We start from the raw sequence: 18,347 nt of genomic DNA on the forward strand, positions 1-18,347 counted from the left end.
GTTTATACCTTGCTGTGACCTGATTTTTTTAAAATGTCTATCTGATAGATAGGACTCCAGTTCATTCATTCCCATTTTGTAATATTGCATTCATATTAAAGCACAGATTACTGAACGTATTTTTCTACTGATAGACATTCAGGTAATTTATAATTTTATAGTTAAATCAATACCATTACAAAAACTATTTTTAGATGTCTGCTTTGCATATGTCAGAGTGGTTTTTTGTGGGGAGGAGTGGAGACACACATACACACACACATATCTTCATCTTTATTAAATATTGTCAAATAATTTCCAAAGTAATCATAATAATTTCAATTCCAAGCAGCAACTTGGGAGATTTACTATTTTTAAATAGTCTTACTAACATTCCATACTGACAGATTTAAAATCTTGCTAATTTGAAGACTAGTGCCTTTATATTACTTTCACTTATTTGCATTGGCCTGATTACTTATGATTTTGAGAATCATTTTGTGTGTGTGTGTGTTTTATATATACATCTTAGACAACAAAGTTTTTTCTTCTTTTAGAGATGGGGGTCTCACTCTGTCACTGGAGTGCAGTGGTGCAATCATAGTTCATTACAGCCCCTGAACTCCTGTGCTCAAGCAAACCTCCCGCCTCAGCCTCTCAAGTAGCTGGTGCTACAGAACGCACCACTACATCCAACTAATTTTTTTTTAACTGTAAAGATGGGGGTCTCACTTCATTACCCAGTTTCCAAGTACTTATTTATATGAATTACACCTATTCAGAACTTTGTCCAGTTTATGGGGTGTTTTGGGTATTTTATGTATTCCTTATATATTCAATGTACAAGTCTTTCATTTTTATGCTTGCAATTATTTTTTCACTTTTTTTCACCTTGCTGATAATTTAATGTTCTAGATACTTTTATTCCAATGCTATCAAAGTTATTAATATTTTCCATTAATCTTTGTGCTTTTGTGAGTTGTCCAAGAAATCTTTCCTTAATCCAATATCATATTAATATTATCTTATTTTTTCTTCTAAAAGATTTAAAGTTTAGCTTTTTACTTTCATATGCTAAATTCACTTTGAATTGATTTTTTTACATTGTGTGAAGTAATGTTTTAATTTATATTTTTTACATACAGAAATATTGTCCCAGTATCATTTATTTAAAAGCTTTCAATGACTATTCATGCCATGCTTGCCATACACCAAGTGACATCTATTATTCCATGTATGGATCTGTTTCTGAATTTTCAAAAAGTAGTTTCTGGCCAGGCGCAGTGGCTCACGCCTGTAATCCCAGCACTTTGGGAGGCTGAGGCGGGCAGATCACCTGAGTTCAGGAGTTCAAGACCAGCCTGGCCAACATGGTGAAACCCTGTCTCTACTAACAATACAAAAAATTAGCGGGGCATGGTGGCAGGCGCCTGTAATCCCAGCTACTCAGGAGGCTGAGGCAGGAGAATCGCTTGAACTTGGCAGGCGGAGGTTGCAGTGAGCCAAGATCGCGCCATTGCACTCCAGCTTAGGAGACAAGAACGAGATATCGTCTTAAAAAAAAAAAAAAGTAGTTTCTATCAGCTAAGGTCCTTAATATGCCTGAAAATTAATAATTTTAATTAATAAAATTAATAATTAATTTACTTTCATATTGCTGATTTGTGGCTGTATTACTTGGATTGCTTTCTTCATGTGTTTCTCAGTTCTGGCTTTTTCTGTTTCTGGCCCATTTCGTTCAATTTAATTCTGAATTCAATTAAGGCTACTTAATGTTTTCATTCATTACAATGAGTCAGGACTCTTATATTCACTGTTGGAACTCACATTATGATAACTGAAGGCTGACCCCCAGATGAGCACTGTCCTCTCTTAACCCCAGCTCTTTCTGCAAGAACATCCAAAAAATCTCCAGAAACTCCTGAGTGATTTCCTGCCCATCCTCCCTGTCTCATTTCTATGTGATTGCTGCAACTGGACATTCTTCTTGTGGTATCAGTGCTTTGCTTGACATGCTCTTTGCTGATGACTGCCATCACCATCACCACTCTTTTCCTGGGGAGAAGGACAAAAAAAAACACTGTGCTCTCTTTAGTGAGCGTGCTTAATTTCTCACTGCACAGCAAAGACTAATTAGTCATGATTAATGAAACTCTTTTAAAGTTTCTGTGATAAAGAAAGAAACCTTCACACACCTATGACCATGGCTTGGGGTCTCTTTCCAGGTTACTTCTATGCCTCATTCTGGCCCTGACTCTGTAAGGCAAGGGCTGGCTTATTCTCCACCATAGAGTGTGCTCTGCTTATCTCCATGGAATCCAAGATAAGAGCTCCTACTGCAACGAAGAGGGAAATTTGCAACCTTAGGCTTGTCCCTTAAATCTTTTTTGCTCCTTCTTTGAGTTTCCTTCAAGATGATTGACCTTTGGTACATCCACGGCAATTGAGATTTTATTAGTTTCCTATTGTCGTTAACAAATGCCACAAACTTAGTGGCTTAAAACAATAGGAATGCATTTTTACAGTTCTGGTGGTCAGAAAGCCAAAACAGGTCTCAATGGACTAAAACATAGGTGTTGGCGGGGCTGCATTTCTTCTGGTGGCTCCAACAGAGAATCTATTTCCTTGCCTTTTTCAGCTTCTAGAGTCTGCCCACAGACCTTGACTTTCAGTCCCTTCCTCCATTTTCAAAGCCAGCAAAGGCTGGTTGAATCTTTCTCCCTTTGCCTCACTCCAACATTGCTTCCATTGCCACATCTTCTCAGGCTCTTCTGCCTCCCTCTTCTACATTAAAAGGTCTTTGTGATTTCATTGGATCTACTCTAATAATCCAGGATAACTCGCCTTATTTTAGGGTCAGCTGATTAGCAAACTTAATTCCATTTGGAACCTTAATTCCCCCTTGCCATGCAACATGACATAGTCCCAGGGTCTGGAGATTAGGACATGGACCTCTTGGGGAGCCATTGTGCCTACCACAGTAATAAATCCTTCTGTGCCCGGGGTTGTTATTGTTCCAAAAGCCACCAGAATATAAGAGTTTAGTATCAATACATTCACTAAATGCCAGGTTATTTTTCTTAAATATCTTTACATGTGAGACATCCCTACCTCTGTCTAGGTTGGGCTACATAAACTTCAGTCTAATTCCTATAGCACATGGTCATAAGATGAAAGGAACATCATCAGGTTTTCATCCCTTGCTTTCAGATTTCAGGGTCTCCTTGTCCATCACCTATAGGCAGCTATTTAAGCAAGGGCACACACACGTGTTTCCTAAGTGAAAGAGTCAATATTCAAGTAAAAAAATCAAGACTCACTGTTGGGAAAAAAATTTACCTTTATCAGAAATTTGCAGAGACATCAGGGAAGATTTGCAGAGACACAATTCCTAACAAAACACCCAATTTTCAATGCTAAACTACACAAATAGCCATCTGTCTGTAGTATTATGTTTGATTTAATTCCTTGCATTCAGCTCTTCTCTAAGGACATGAATGGTTACTTGGATACATACACATTCTAAAATGTCCACTTCCAATGTTATATTTTTTATAAAACAATGGGAAAATCTGCTCCAAAATTAATTGTGTCTTCATTTTAGAAGATAGATAACAACTTGCAGCATTAATTTCCAATGTTTTAGTTTTAAAAATTATTGAGGTTCTATTTTACAGAGTACCCATTGCATGTAATAGTTTAGTACCTATAACTTTGATATCCATGTATGAATGGATTTTCTAAGATTTTCTAAATATTAAAATATTTGCTTTTGTTGTCTATGTTCAGAGTTTAGGCTCTTAAAATGTTATCTATTTCTATCTTACCATACACTCCTGTATCTTAAATATTGCTGAAAGAATTTGCCAATTAGTTAAGACAATTTCTGCCATTAATTTTTTCCAAACACCTGTTTAATTTCTTCTGAGGTATCTAAGTTTCTGCCACATCCTACAATATTTCTTTCTTATTTTCAACGTCTAGTCAAGCAAATGTATTTATCTCATTTAAGGCATTTATGTCCTTAATGACTAGCCCAGGGTATTATCTTCTGTCATATTAAAACTAATATTGGAGCCTCTCCCTAATGAGGCCAAGAATACATTTGATCTATCTACCATTTGTCTTTCTCTTTTTCTCCCATGTATTACAAATTATAGAGAACAATTTATCTTAGTTGTCTAAAAATATAATCCCATAGAGGCAAGGATTGAATCTTTCTTGCATTCTATAACTTTCAAACAATTGAGTATAGAAAATGTTGAAGTGCTTAATTAACAAATGAATCAAGGCACTACCATTTCTTTCTTAAATGTCACATATTTTTACCCAGCTAAAAATATTTTTCTGTGTTCTTGGCATTTTGCATGTGACATGGCATATGCTCTGAAAGTAACAATAGAATTACAACAGACCCCTCAACTGCTATTTTGAGTAAACTATTTTGTCATTGTAAATTCTTTTGTTAAAATGCAAGAGAAGATAATTATTCCTTTTTTCTTTATGCCATTGTGAATAAAAATGCAGTGTACTTACAATAGAAAAATTATCATTGAACTGTCTAATGAGGTTGATATGGAGTCATTTTAGTAATACATTAATACTCTTGGGGCCACTTCATATTTTTTTACCCATGCTATTTCTGCCTCAATAACTTAAACATTGCTACTCTGATCAAAATCCGTTCATCAGGCTTTTCTTTTAAGGGACACAAGTACATAATCACTTCCTTTTCTGTTTAAATAGAGATCGGGCAATGCTGATATATCAGGATAACAGATTCCCTAAGCTGCCATTAAAAAGCCTAGCTCTATGGAATCAGACCTAGGAACAAGAGGTAACATTTGCCCAGAGAATTTGCAAGATTAAAACCCAGGTTCCTCAAATATTTTAATATCTCAGTTGCAAATTAAGTAAAAATCAAACAATTAAAAGAGATCAACTTCATTTGTATGTAATGCCAAATAAATGCCTGGATTACTTTTCCTCCCATAAAATTAATGGGTTGGTTAATTAGTTAGTAGATTATTTGCCAAACTGTAGAAACAGAATATAATTGAACTACAAATTAAGATTATAGAAATAAGAAAAGTAAAGAGAAAATGAAGTGAAAAAATTAAGTAGGTAATTATGCATATTAAAATTCTGATGGAAAAGCAGTGTTTTGTATCTGAATCCTGAGAATGCCTCAATATCAATATAGTTTATAATAAAAATTCTCTGTTTCTATTTTATACAACTTTTCATACTTCATCTAATTTTTCTTTTTTTTTTTTTTTTTTTTTTTTTTTGAGACGGAGTCTCGCTCTGTCGCCCAGGCTGGAGTGCAGTGGCGCGACCTCGGCTCACTGCAAGCTCCGCCTCCCGGGTTCACGCCATTCTCCTGCCTCAGCCTCCCGAGTAGCCGGGACCACAGGCGCCCGCCACCACGCCCGGCTAATTTTTTGTATTTTTAGTAGAGGCGGGGTTTCACCGCGTTAGCCAGGATGGTCTCGATCTCCTGACCTCATGATCCGCCCGCCTCTGCCTCCCAAAGTGCTGGGATTACAGGCGTGAGCCACCGCGCCCGGCCTAATTTTTCTCTTTTTAAGTGACAAAACTAAAAGGGAGAATCAATAATTCCCATTTTCTACATTTCAGAATTATGCATTTTTATCCTTGGATTTCTGTATGTCTTCTACCTAAAGCATTACACACACAATTATGTTTCTTTGTATAGTAACTTTTGTGGGCTTATTTCATTTTTAAAATCCATGCAACCATTTCACTCTACCCCATAACTTATCTATATTTGTATTTCTATGAAAACACTGTGTTCTCCTCAAACCGTGAGTAAAACTGATTCTCAAAGAGACACTCCAGGTTTATGCTGTGGTCCTGCTCTCCACCTTTACAACCTAGGGCAAGTGTGATCCTCACTGGGCTCTTTCTCAGCAGAACCCTCAACAAAGGAGTCTCTTTTCTCACTCAGGGACAGCAGCAGACCAGGTGGACCTGCTAAGGGTTGACTTCCTCTGAAAAATGGAGCCATCACAACTGAGGAAGCTGTGATGAAAGTTTGCTGCTTTCTTTGTGGATAGCTAATTGATAGTTAAATTTTTATCTCATAAACAAAACAAATTCTTTCTTCAGCTTTATTGTGGTATAATTGAGAATTAAAACTGTACACTTTTAAAGTGTACATGTTGATGTGATACACGTATACACTGCAAAATGATTACCACAATTAACTTAATTAACACTTCTATTTCCTCACCTAGTTACCTTTTGTAGGAGGTGGGGCATGAAAACACTTCAGATCTACTCTTTTAGCAAATTTCAAACATACAATATGGTATTATTAACTATGGTCAATCATGCTGTTTATTGGATTTTCAGAATTTATTCATCTTATAACTGAGAGTTTGTTTCCTTTGACCATCATTCTCTCCATTACCCACACCTCTCAGCCCCTGGCAACCACCATTCTAATATCTATTTCTATGAGTTCAACTTCTTTTTCCCTCTGGATTCCACATATAACTGATACCATATAGTATTAGTCTTTCTCTGCCTGGCTTATTTCACTTAGCTTAATGCTTTCCAGGTTCATCCATGTTGTTGCTAATGGCAGGATTTCCTTTTTTCATATCTAAATAATCTATCTGTGGCACATTTTTGAATTCATTTCTTGTGACGCACAGGTTGTTGCCATATCTTGGCTTTTGTGAATAATGCCTCCATGAACGTAGGGCAGTAGCTATTTCTTTGAGATACTAACTGCCCCAACTGTTATTTCTTTGAGATATTTTCTTTGAGATTGCTGGATCATGTGGAAGTTCTATTTTTCATTTTTTGAGTAAGGTCCATACTACTTTCCATAATGGCTGTACTAATTTACATTGCCATCCACAGTTTGCAAGGGTCCCCTTTTCTCTACATTCTCACCTAATTTGTTATCTCTTGTCCTTTTTATAATAGCCATCCTAACAGGTGTGAAGTGATAGCTTATTGTGGTTTTGATGTTCATTTCCCTGATGATTAGTGATGTTGAGTACCTTTTCATATACGTGTTAGCCATTTGCACACCTTTATTTTGGAAAAATGTCTATTCAGAGCTGGGCATGATGGCTCATCCCAGTAATTTTAGCACTTTGGGAGGACAAGGTGGATAGATCACTTAAGCCCAGGAATTCCAGTTTACATGAGCTATGATTGTGCCACTGCACTTCAGCCTTGGCAACAGAGCAAGACCCTGTTGAAAGAGAGAGAGAAACAAGGAAGGAAAGAAGGAAGGAAGGAAGGAAGGAAGGAAGGAAGGAAGGAAGGAAGGAAGGAAGGAAGGAAGGAAGGAAGGAAAGAAGGAAGGAGAAAAATGTCCATTCGTGTCCTTTGCCCTTTTTTAATGGGATTTTTTTTTATTTACTCATCCTTTCAAAAATCTCCTTTCCTAGATTTCTATATCTGAGTCCGTGGAACCACTATTTATGCATTTACTCAAGGCTTAGGATTTATCTCTTTCCATAACACCCACACACACATCCAATCCATCTGCAGATATTGTCACCTCTGCATCCTTCATCCATCTGTTTCTCTGTATCTGTACTGTTACTGCCTAATCCAGGAACCTAAAATGCTTTTCCTCCTCACTTAACTTGGTTCCTTCTCAAATGTCAAATCTTCCTCAGAGATGTCTTCCCTGATCACCCTTTCTGGAGTAGCACCTGCCCCCTCTTCATCCTTTTCTCTTCTTCTACGTTTATTGCTTTTTCTTGATAACTAGCAGCTTCCTAATTCATCTTGTAGTTTCCATCGTTGCCCTTCACAAAACATTGTCTTCTTAGCTTCCTGAGTGATCTTGCACAATATAAAGAATACCATCCAAAACTTTTACTCTGGCCCCGAAGGCCCTATCTGATCAGACCCTCCCTTTCTCTCTGCCCTGATTTCCCACCACCTCTCCCTTATCACTGCACTCCATGCAAACTTGATCTCTTTAGGGTTCTTTTGTTTCTGCCCCTCAGGCTCATACCTGTCCAGCTTTTCCTTTTGCCTTGATTTCTTTTCTCCCTAAAACTTCATAGAGCCCACTCCTTATCCTGGTTTTAGTCTGTCTTAGAGATGTCTTCTCTAAGTCTTCCCTAAGACTGGTGTCCCTAAAATACAAATATATGTATGCCCCAAGTTACTCTGTAACTCATTACATTGTTTTATTTTTATTATAGCCCAAATCCTAATCCAGGTATCTAAATTTTTTGTTTAGTTATTTAATTTCATAGTTTTTGGCACTCCCAAAAGAATATAAGCTTTTCCTGTCTCATTCAACACCATAAGTCCAATGCCTAGAATAGTGTCTGCCATAAAAGAGGGGTTAAATGAACGAATCAATGACCAAATGATCTATGATTCAGTAAAGCAGGAAGAGCATGTCCTTTACAAGATTCAATCATAAGAGTTGAAAACAAAGCAGAGAAAATGGCGTATTACATGAATATATAATATGTTTCTTACATGAAAAATCTGGAAGTATATTAAAAGACCACTGAGCTCCGTCAGAGACTTATGTTCTGGTCACATGATATTAAGAATGTATAAAGTACCTGCATTCCAAAATTACCACATCTTTAGATTTTTCATTTAAACATTGGCATTTAGTCTTGTGGGACTAACTCCATTTTACAGATGAGAAAACTAAGGCTTAGAGATTTGCAGAGACGTAAAACCAGTTGCACAGCTGAGAACTGAACTAAATTAAAAAATATATATATATGATATATATATATATATATAATATATATATGATATATATATATATATATATATATATATATATATATATATATTCCTTCTATTACATTACACACCAATTAGGCTTTGACTCCTGTAGCCATGGGGAAGTCAAGGATGTCTGGGGCCACAGCTTCAGTAACAAAGAGTGAAAACTGACATTAGTTTACAGGATGGTACAAGGTTAATCCATATGACATGCCTGCAGTGCACAGTATATGGCTGCCTATCCTACAAACACAATGAATACAAAGTTTCTTTGAAATCCATAAGATATCAATGCAAAATAATTATTACATTCAAAATAATCAAAATAATATAAGATGAAAACTTCTATATTACCATCGACTTAGAACTGTAATTGAATTTGTTATAAAATCTAGTATAGACACGGATGAAACAAAACAATGTGAAAATGGAAGGGTTAGGTTTTTTCTTTCATGAGTCAGATTGTATGGTACAGACATACAAAAGCATTTTGGCCTTGCAAAAGCCCATAGGTGTCTTATAATTGCCCTCCTACCTTGCATTCTGAGGTGGAATGGGAAGAGCAAACTTGGAGAGCTTTTTGGATGACTTTGAAATAATCCTTGCTTAGGAATGTTTAAAATCCTTTCATAGCATTCCTAATAAATTTGGTAGATATTATGATATTCCATTAAAGATACTTGACTCTGCTGATAACAACAGGGTATGCACCATAGAATTTCACTTCATTCCTTGTTAAGAAGTACACAGAAACAAACTCAGTCAGGCCTAAGAAAATTGATCTCCATTAATAATTTTTATAAATCTTTAACAATGAAAGCAAATGCCATAGTTACAGCCAACATTTCTGGAACATTTAGTAAGTGCCAGGTATTTTATATATACTATTGCCAATATCCTGCCATCCGTGCAAGACAGGTAATATTAGTCATCAAATGATTTCTTTGAGTCCAGGTAGCTAAAAAAATTGGAGAATTACTATTTTAATCCAGCCCTCTCTTATCCCAAAGTCCTACTTTTTCTCTCATTTCACACTATCTTCTTCATTCTTTGATTTATTAAACAAGTATTTGCTTAACACCTATTACGTGGCAGGCACTGTTAGATCTATTCAATAAAGCAACATGGCTGCCCTTGTGGGCTTATAGTTCATCTAGACAGAAAGGACATAAACCAACATATAATGTAGCAAACATAACATTAGTATAATATTAAGTATATGGTTATACCCACTATAAAATAAAAACAAAACAGGAGAAAGAGCTAGAAATGAGTATTTGATAATCAGATCAAAGAAGTGTCCTGACACTAGACAGTTTAGGATCTCACTGGCCACTGGAAGGGCTCTGGATTTGCATATCAAAGGTTCCCTTTAAAAATTGAGAGCTAATAGGCCAAAGAATCTGTTTATGGTTATATGAACATTTCCAATGATATATTCTGCTTTTGACAGAAATATTTAAATAATTAATTTGCCTTTTCTTATTGAAAAGTTTATGGAGAACATTCTGTATATCAGGCATGGGAGACAAAGCTGGGGCTAAAAAGATGAGTAAGACAATAACTTCTCTTAGAGGAAGAAAGTAACAGAGAAATTCATTTATGAATTTCATTCAAAACATGAGATTCATTCAAAAACATCTCATGAGGTCCCATTATGCTCCAAATCCAAATACTATGTGGGACATTGGAAATACATCATGAGAAGGCATCACATTAGGAGAAAGGAGTCTGAAGGGGCACAGAAAACTTTCCTCAGAGGAGGAGACATAGGAAGTTGCCTTCAAGCATGAGTAAGAGTTTGCCACACAATGACTGGAAAGGTCAGCTAAGTAGAGGAGATGGCAAATAGAAGAAAGGGGAATTACACGGGGCATTGCTACTCAAGAACAATAAGAAGACCTGGCAGGGTACAAGCAGGGCAGTGACAGGAAATAAGGCCAGAATAGCGGGTGGGGCTGGACTCTGAAAGTTACGATTTTTAAAGCATGCACACAGTCCAGAGACTGTGATAAGGGAACACTTTTAGTCTCCATGTCTCATGTTTCCCTGCGGAGGAACTTAACATTCTCTCACTCCACCCTGCTCACACTCCTCTCCAGAAGAGAAGGCTACAGGAAGATAGATTTGGGGAAGGAACTGAGCATGCGCAGCTCAAACACACATCTCATTTACAGGTAAAGCTCACAGGATCATGTTCTGTCTGCCCCTATTGCCAGTGACTGGGTGGTAAAGCCTAATTCAGAGGTGAGCTATTAGAAAGACCATTTACCCTGAATCTAAAGTTAAATTCTTCAGTCAGCCTTATTAGGAATAAAACGTGACTTTTCTGTGTCCTTCAGTCTGTCTGACTTGTGCATATCTTCTCTCCCCATTGGTTCTTGACTTAGAAGGGAAAGGTTCCCGACTTATTGGCTTTCCTAAAACTCAATCACACCTGTGGAAGGCAGAATAAATGGCCCCCAAAGATGGGGGAGTATTTACATCCTAATCCCCTGATGTTTACATCCTAATCCTCTGAACCTGTGAATATGTTACCTTATGTGGAAAAGGGAACCCTGCAGATGTGATTAAGATTGAGAATTTTGAGATGGGGAGATTACCCTAGATTATCTTTGATTACCCCAATCTACTCATAGGAATCTTTAAAAGCTGAGAGTCTTTCCTGGTTAAGTCAAACAGAGATGCAACAATAAACGAATGATCAGAGAGATGCAGCATGGGAAAGATTCAATCAACCATTGCTGGCTTGGAAGATGGAGTAAGGGAGCCACAAACTAAGGAATTGGGCAGCCTCTGGATGCAGAGAACAGTCCCTTGACCAATAGTCAGTAAGGAAATGAGGACCTTGGCCCTACCACCACAGGGAACTGAATTCTGCCAACAACCTGAATGAGCAAGAAATGTATTCTCCCATAGATTCTCCAGGAAGGAATGTAGCCTGGCTAACACCTTGATTTTAGCTCAGTGTAGTTTTAACCTACTGAATTTGAGGTAATTTGTTATGGCAGCTATAGAAAATTAATACAACAATACAAGGAGCCAATGGAGGCTTTAACCCAAGAGGGATGACATGCTCAGATGGAGATAGCAATTACAGTGACCAATAGCATCTGAGTTGGGAAATGTTTGTGAGAGCAAGTAGAGAGCATTTGGTGATGAGATGCAGAGCTAGATGAAGGAGCTAGGTCAGTTTAGGGATTGAGTGGATGTTTATACCATTACCCAAGACTGAGACCTGTGAAAGAGAAACGGATTTGCAAGAGCAAATCCTAAACTCGATTATGACATGCTAAAATTGAGGTATGGTATATAAGGCCTCTAAGACATTCTGGTGAAGGTTTTAAACAAATTGTTGGAAACAAGTGCCTGAAAGAAAGCAGAGACATTGTATAGATCATAGTGGGTAAGACAATGCAAAGTGAGAAAGATAACTGCCTATCTAGTCATGATTGGATCATGAAAAAATTATTTTAAGCAATTTGTTTATTTTTTTTTTTTTTTTGCTACTATACCAGGCATCTACAGCTCTACATAAGGAAAATGTCACCAGGGTAAATTTTGTAAATAAATAGATATTTTTCTAGAAGTCACTACAGGAGTCTGTTCAGTTTCATGCCATATCCTAGATATAGCCTCCCATTTTTGTTTTTTATCAACACTGTAGTTTTAGACCTTGAAGTCACCAGTAAGAAATTTAAGATTTTTCACAGATAATCCCACCACGTGCCACACCTAGAATCACACATTTTACACTGGTTTTGAATCAGGTAAGCACTTAACCAGATCATTCTCTTCATCTTTTGATTATCCTTCTACTCTGCATTTCTCTTATGAATTCATACCAAAGGAAACATTGCTAAGTAATTTTCTCATAGCTTAAAAAGTGTTGCCCATGAAACTGCAGTTAAAACCTTACCTTATGTCTTAACTCCTATTGTTCTTAGAAAGTCAGTTTAGATAACATTTTCTTTCTAAAGTTGAAAATTATCTTCATTTGTTCTTTATGAGACCTCAGCTAGCTTCATATAACCAAAAACGTCAAGACTTCTTACTTACTTCTGAGTTTCATGATAAGACACTTTATGATCAGGAGTTCTTAGGCAAGGACAGAACTTCAGATTGGTCAGATAACTTATTTTACATAGCTGGATTTACATAAATGGCTCAAGACACCTGCCTTCCTAAAAACAAATAAAATTTTGAAAGTTTTTTAAAAAATGTTTATGTTGAAATAATTATAAACTCCCAGGAAATTACAAAAATAGTACAGAAAGATTCCTATACCCATTTGTTAGCTTCCCCTCATGGGAACATTTTATGTAACTATAATGCATTATCAAAACCACAAAATTAGCCGGGGTTGGTGGCGCACGCCTGTAATCCCAGCACTCTGGGAAGCCGAGGTGGGTGGATCACCTGAGGTCAGGAGTTCAAGACCAGCATGGCCAACATGGTGAAACCCCATCTCTACTAAAAATACAAAAATTAGCCGGGCGTGGTGGCACACACCTGTAATCCCAGCTACACGGGAGGCTGAGGCAGGAGAATTGTTCCAACCCGGGAGGCAGAAGTTGCAGTGAGCCACGATCGCGCCACTGCACTCCATCCTGGGCAACAAAGTGAGACTCCGTCTCAAAAACACACACACACACACACACACACACACACACACACACACACACACACACACACAAAATTGACATTGGCATAATACAATTAACTGGACTATAGATCTTATGTTGATTTTAGAGGGTTTTGTATATACCCTTCCCCTTTTTTTGTATACATGTGAGTGTAGTTCTGTGAAATTTTATTTCATATATAGATTCATATGAGCACTATCACAATTGAGACATGGAACTATTCTGTACTCTTTACAGTTTCACCTCCCCCTTCACCAATGCTTTTAACCACTGATTTGTTCGCCATTCCTGTAGTTCCATCATTTTAAGTATGTTATATAAAGGAAATCATGCAGTATGTAACATTTTTATGTTGGCTCTATTTACATTCAATGAAATCACCTTGAAATTCATTCATATTGCTGCAAATATCAATAGTTTGTTCCTTTTTATTGCTGCCATAATGTTCCATGCTATGGATTACTTTCACTCATTGCAGGACATTTGGGTTGGGTTTGCTTGTTCTAGTTTTGGGCTATGACAATTAAAACTACTGTGAACATCATCTACAAGTTTTTGCATGAACATAAATTTTCATGTCTGTAGAATAAAAGTCCAGGAGTGTGGTCATTGGATCATATGGTAAATATATGTTAAATTTTATAAGTAGCATCCAAACTCCTAGAGTGGCTGTACTGTACATTCACAAGAGTAATTCATAGGAAATCCATTTCTCCACATGCTTGCCAGCTCTGGCACAGCCAGTATTTTATTTGTATTATTATTTTAACCATTCTAATAGGTGTGTAATGAAAAACAGATGAACTTTTAATTGTATTTTGAAAACTCTATATAGATAGTTGAATGAACACTCTGAAGTGAACACAATTTCCTGTATTGTGTATGAATATATTGCCTTAGTTAAGAAGTAAAAGGACAGGAGGTTGGATCTTAGTCCTCTATATTTGTAAGTAAAAATGACACAAAATCATGAAAATGCAAGACCATCAAAAACCACAAAGGCCTGTTTATTTGTAATAGATTCCCTTTGGAATCCTTGTGGCCAATTTCAGGAGGAGAGCAGAAAAGAGGTTCTGGTTTGCTATTTGCCTTGATGGCCTGATTCTCAATGATCAAGTGATAAGAAGCCCTTGGAAGACTTTCCCATGAGTTTAGCATGCTTAGACTAAAGAAAGGTGAGACCTGGGTTGTCACATTGTTCTGAAAGCTGAATATTGTTTTATTTAAAAACAAAACCAAAAATAGCACATTGGGTACTATCACAAAATGCAGTCAAATGCTACTAATTTTTTCTGCTAAGGAACATTTAACTAGATTAATGAACTAAAAGTCAAATGTTAAGCATTTTTTAACATTCTAGCACTTTTAATCAATATCTCTGTAGCTGTCCTTCTTCTCTAAATACAAGATTAATTATTGAGCACTTGAGCTACTTAAATATTACAGCCTACAGAAATCTTTCCACTTGAAAAAGATTGCACCAAAATTTTCCAATGTCTGTTTTAAGAAGTGGTAGTTTCATAGAATATGAATAAGCCCCGAAAGGGCTTCATGACCAATAAAGGTAAATAGCTTCTTTACCGCAGATCCTCTCAAAGTCAATATTAGATGAATGAATGAATGTACAATATGAAACTCCAAGAAGTTACTGGGTACTGAGAACTTCTCCAGAACTTATTTGTCTGTAGAATTCTTTTTAAAACTATCTCAAGGGACTATATTTGAAAACCTTGGATCAGATTGACTGAAAACATAATTGGTACATAAATGATTTACATATTATTTAAATTGTTGTGGGGAAGAGAGCTGTCAGAAATGCTCTAGTCTAAAAATGGGAAAACATTCATTTTCTTGAATGTGTTTTTATGGCCAACTCATAAAGAAATCTAGTTCTGACTAGACTGTTAACATCTTTTATGATTCAACAATTGTTCATTGATTGCCCTAGACATTAAGAAATGTTGCATATGACAAGGTGGGCCTAATACTTAGGTGAAGTGTAGATAGGTGCAGCAAACCACCATGGCAAATGTTTACCTATGTAACAGACCTGCACATCCTGCACATGTACCCTGGAACTCAAAGTAACATAAGATAAAATTAAATTGAAATTTTTTTAAAAAAGAAATGTACTCCATTTGTAACTTTATAGGGTTTGATTGTTATTCCTTTAAAGCCTTAACTTTTTTGGTTTTTAAAATTATTTTTTAAAGTTTAAAAAACCGCTTTTGATAATAATCATCCTAACTGGGTGAGATGATACCTCATTATGGTTTTTGTTAGTATTTCCCATATAATTAGTGATGTTGGCACATTTAAAAAATATATTTATTGACCATCTGTATGTCTTCCTTGGAGAAATGTCTGTTCAGATCATTTGCTCATTTTTAAATCGGATCTTTTGCTTTTTTGCTGTTGAGATGTTTGAGATCCTTGTATATTCTGGGTATTAATTCCCTGTTGGATGAATAGTTTGCAAATATTTTCTCCCATTCTGCATGCTGCTTTTTCACGCTGTTGATTGTTTCTTTTGCTGTGTAGAAGTTCTTTAGTCTGCTATAATCCCATTTGTTTATTTTCACTTTTATTGCTTGTGATTTTGAGGTTGCATTCACAAAACCTTTTCCCAGACCAATGTGGTATAAATTTCTCCTGTTTTCTTCCAGTAGTTTTATAATTTGGGGTCTTACATTTAAGTCTCTCATCTATTTTGAGTTTATTTTTGTATAGGGTGAGAGGTAGGGGTCTTATTGCCTTCCTCTCTATATTGATATCCAGTTTTCTCAGCACCATTTATTGAACAGTCTGTCCTTTCCACAATGAGCATTCTTGGCATCTTTGTCAAAAATCAGTTAACTGTAGATACATGGATTAATTTCTGGGTTATCTATTCTGTTCCATTTGTCTATGTTTCTGTTTTGGCTACTATGGTGTTGTGGCATATTTTGAAGTCTGGTAATGTGATGCCTCCGGCCAGTTCTTATTGCTCAGGATTGCTTTGGCTATTTGGAGACTTTTGTGGTGACATACAAATTTTAGGATTTTTCTATGAAGAATATTATTGTTATTTCAATAGGGACAGTCTGGATTTTTACACTGTGGCATCTGGAAATTGATAATGTGAATTTCTTAGATTTTGTATCCAGCCTCATCTGCAAAGTATGTCTTTTAAATAGTAAGCTAATTTTCCCCAACTTTATCCCAACTGGTCAGGAAATAAGAAGATGCAGATACTTTTTAATATGTTCTACTTTATTCATCAAAATATCAAAATAGCTGCAACAGATATTTCTTCTTCCATAAAATGTGACAGATATAAATATCCACATGTAAATACATTTGAATTTAATATAATTTTATGCATAATAAAGTTAAAATCCAAAGTTACCAAGGGGCAATAACTTGCCTTACTTCCAAGTGATTTATATGCATATAAAAGATTAGAAAACAATTATCCTAGAACATATTGGAAAGTTTTTGTTTTCCAACTAGTGTTAAATTTCACTGGAGCTATAATTTAGATGGGTCTCATAAATTTTCTCGAGATGTTTTTATTAGCATTTAGCTTTACAGTTATCAAATAGATAACCTAAAAGTATCCTAAAGTAACCAAATTTGTTTTCTGAGACATACAGGTAAATGAACCAGCAAACAAATAGCATTTTACTCACTGTACATACCAACATTCATGACCACATTACACATATGGTGCTTTATGAAAAGGTTTTACTGACTTTGTCCCCATATCATCTCCTAGGACTTATTTTTTAAGCATTACATTATTTTTTACAGGTGAAAATGTCTGATCCAGCTTATAGCTCTTTTCCGTGTAATCCCTGCGTTTTTTCCACATTTGGTTCTTTTAGTCCTTATAACACATTCTTCTTTTTTTAATCTGGGAAAATGTAGCTTAGGCTCACCATCTGTTTCATAGTGAAGTGCTTGTATTCAGCTTCCCAGATGGGTTGAATAAGAGAAAAAGGTTAAGTGATTTAACTTGAATTCATACAGTGAGTCATCTGCCCTCAGCGCAGGCATGACAAAGTGAAAGATTTTCAGGGTTTTCTCTTCACTATACAAATTTGGAGATCACACAAGTTTCATCAGAGCATTCTAAAAACTGGTCAGAGTAGCAAATATATTCAACATGGCTGAACAATAATTTGGATTTCAAATGTATTCATAATATACAACATTAAAAAAACTTTGAAAAAGTAAACATTTTCTTTTGACAAGATATGAAAACTTCACTTTTTCAATATTATTGCCTCCTGGCTGGTATTCTAATCTCTCTTTTCCTTTCAATACATCTTTTAATCTGGTCTCATATTAATTTTGTAACAATTCCCCTTTTTTTCTCATCTCTGCTGGAGAGTAGACAGTTTCTTCCTAACAACAGTGTACAGACCTCCAGCCCTCCAAAAAGTGCCTAAATTTATATTCTGCAACCTTTTTTTGGTCTGAAGAGTAGAGCTTCAATTCAGTTCTAGAGTTTGGATAGGAAAATAATTTTCATTAAAAGAGAGAATTCAGATAGCAGGGGATACCTGTATCAATAAAAGGGTGTTTATTAATTAAATTTGTTGCATTTTAATAAGAAGAAAAGAGGTCCAAGTTGATTTACTCAACTTTGACAAAGCTCTCATATTGTGTAGAATCCTAACCCAAATACTATGAATGAGGTTTGAAAAAAGTAGAGACAGTGCTTTCTCTTGAGGAATTTGGTCACTAGTAAGTGGAAACCTTAATCAAAGTATCCCCATTTAGGGTAGAAACAGGTTATTTTATTAATGAACCAAATTCTGTGACAATCAACTTAACCAAGATCTGATGGAATTATTATTTTTTATTTTTACTGAATTTTTCTTTGAACAATGGAACCAGTTATGCACCCTGCCATGGACTGAATGTTTATGTCTCTCCAAAACTCATATGTTGATATATTAACTTCCAAAATATCAGTATTAG

The sequence above is a fragment of the Homo sapiens genome, chromosome 13, assembly GCF_000001405.40.
Source record: "Homo sapiens chromosome 13, GRCh38.p14 Primary Assembly".
Taxonomy (NCBI): domain Eukaryota; kingdom Metazoa; phylum Chordata; class Mammalia; order Primates; family Hominidae; genus Homo; species Homo sapiens.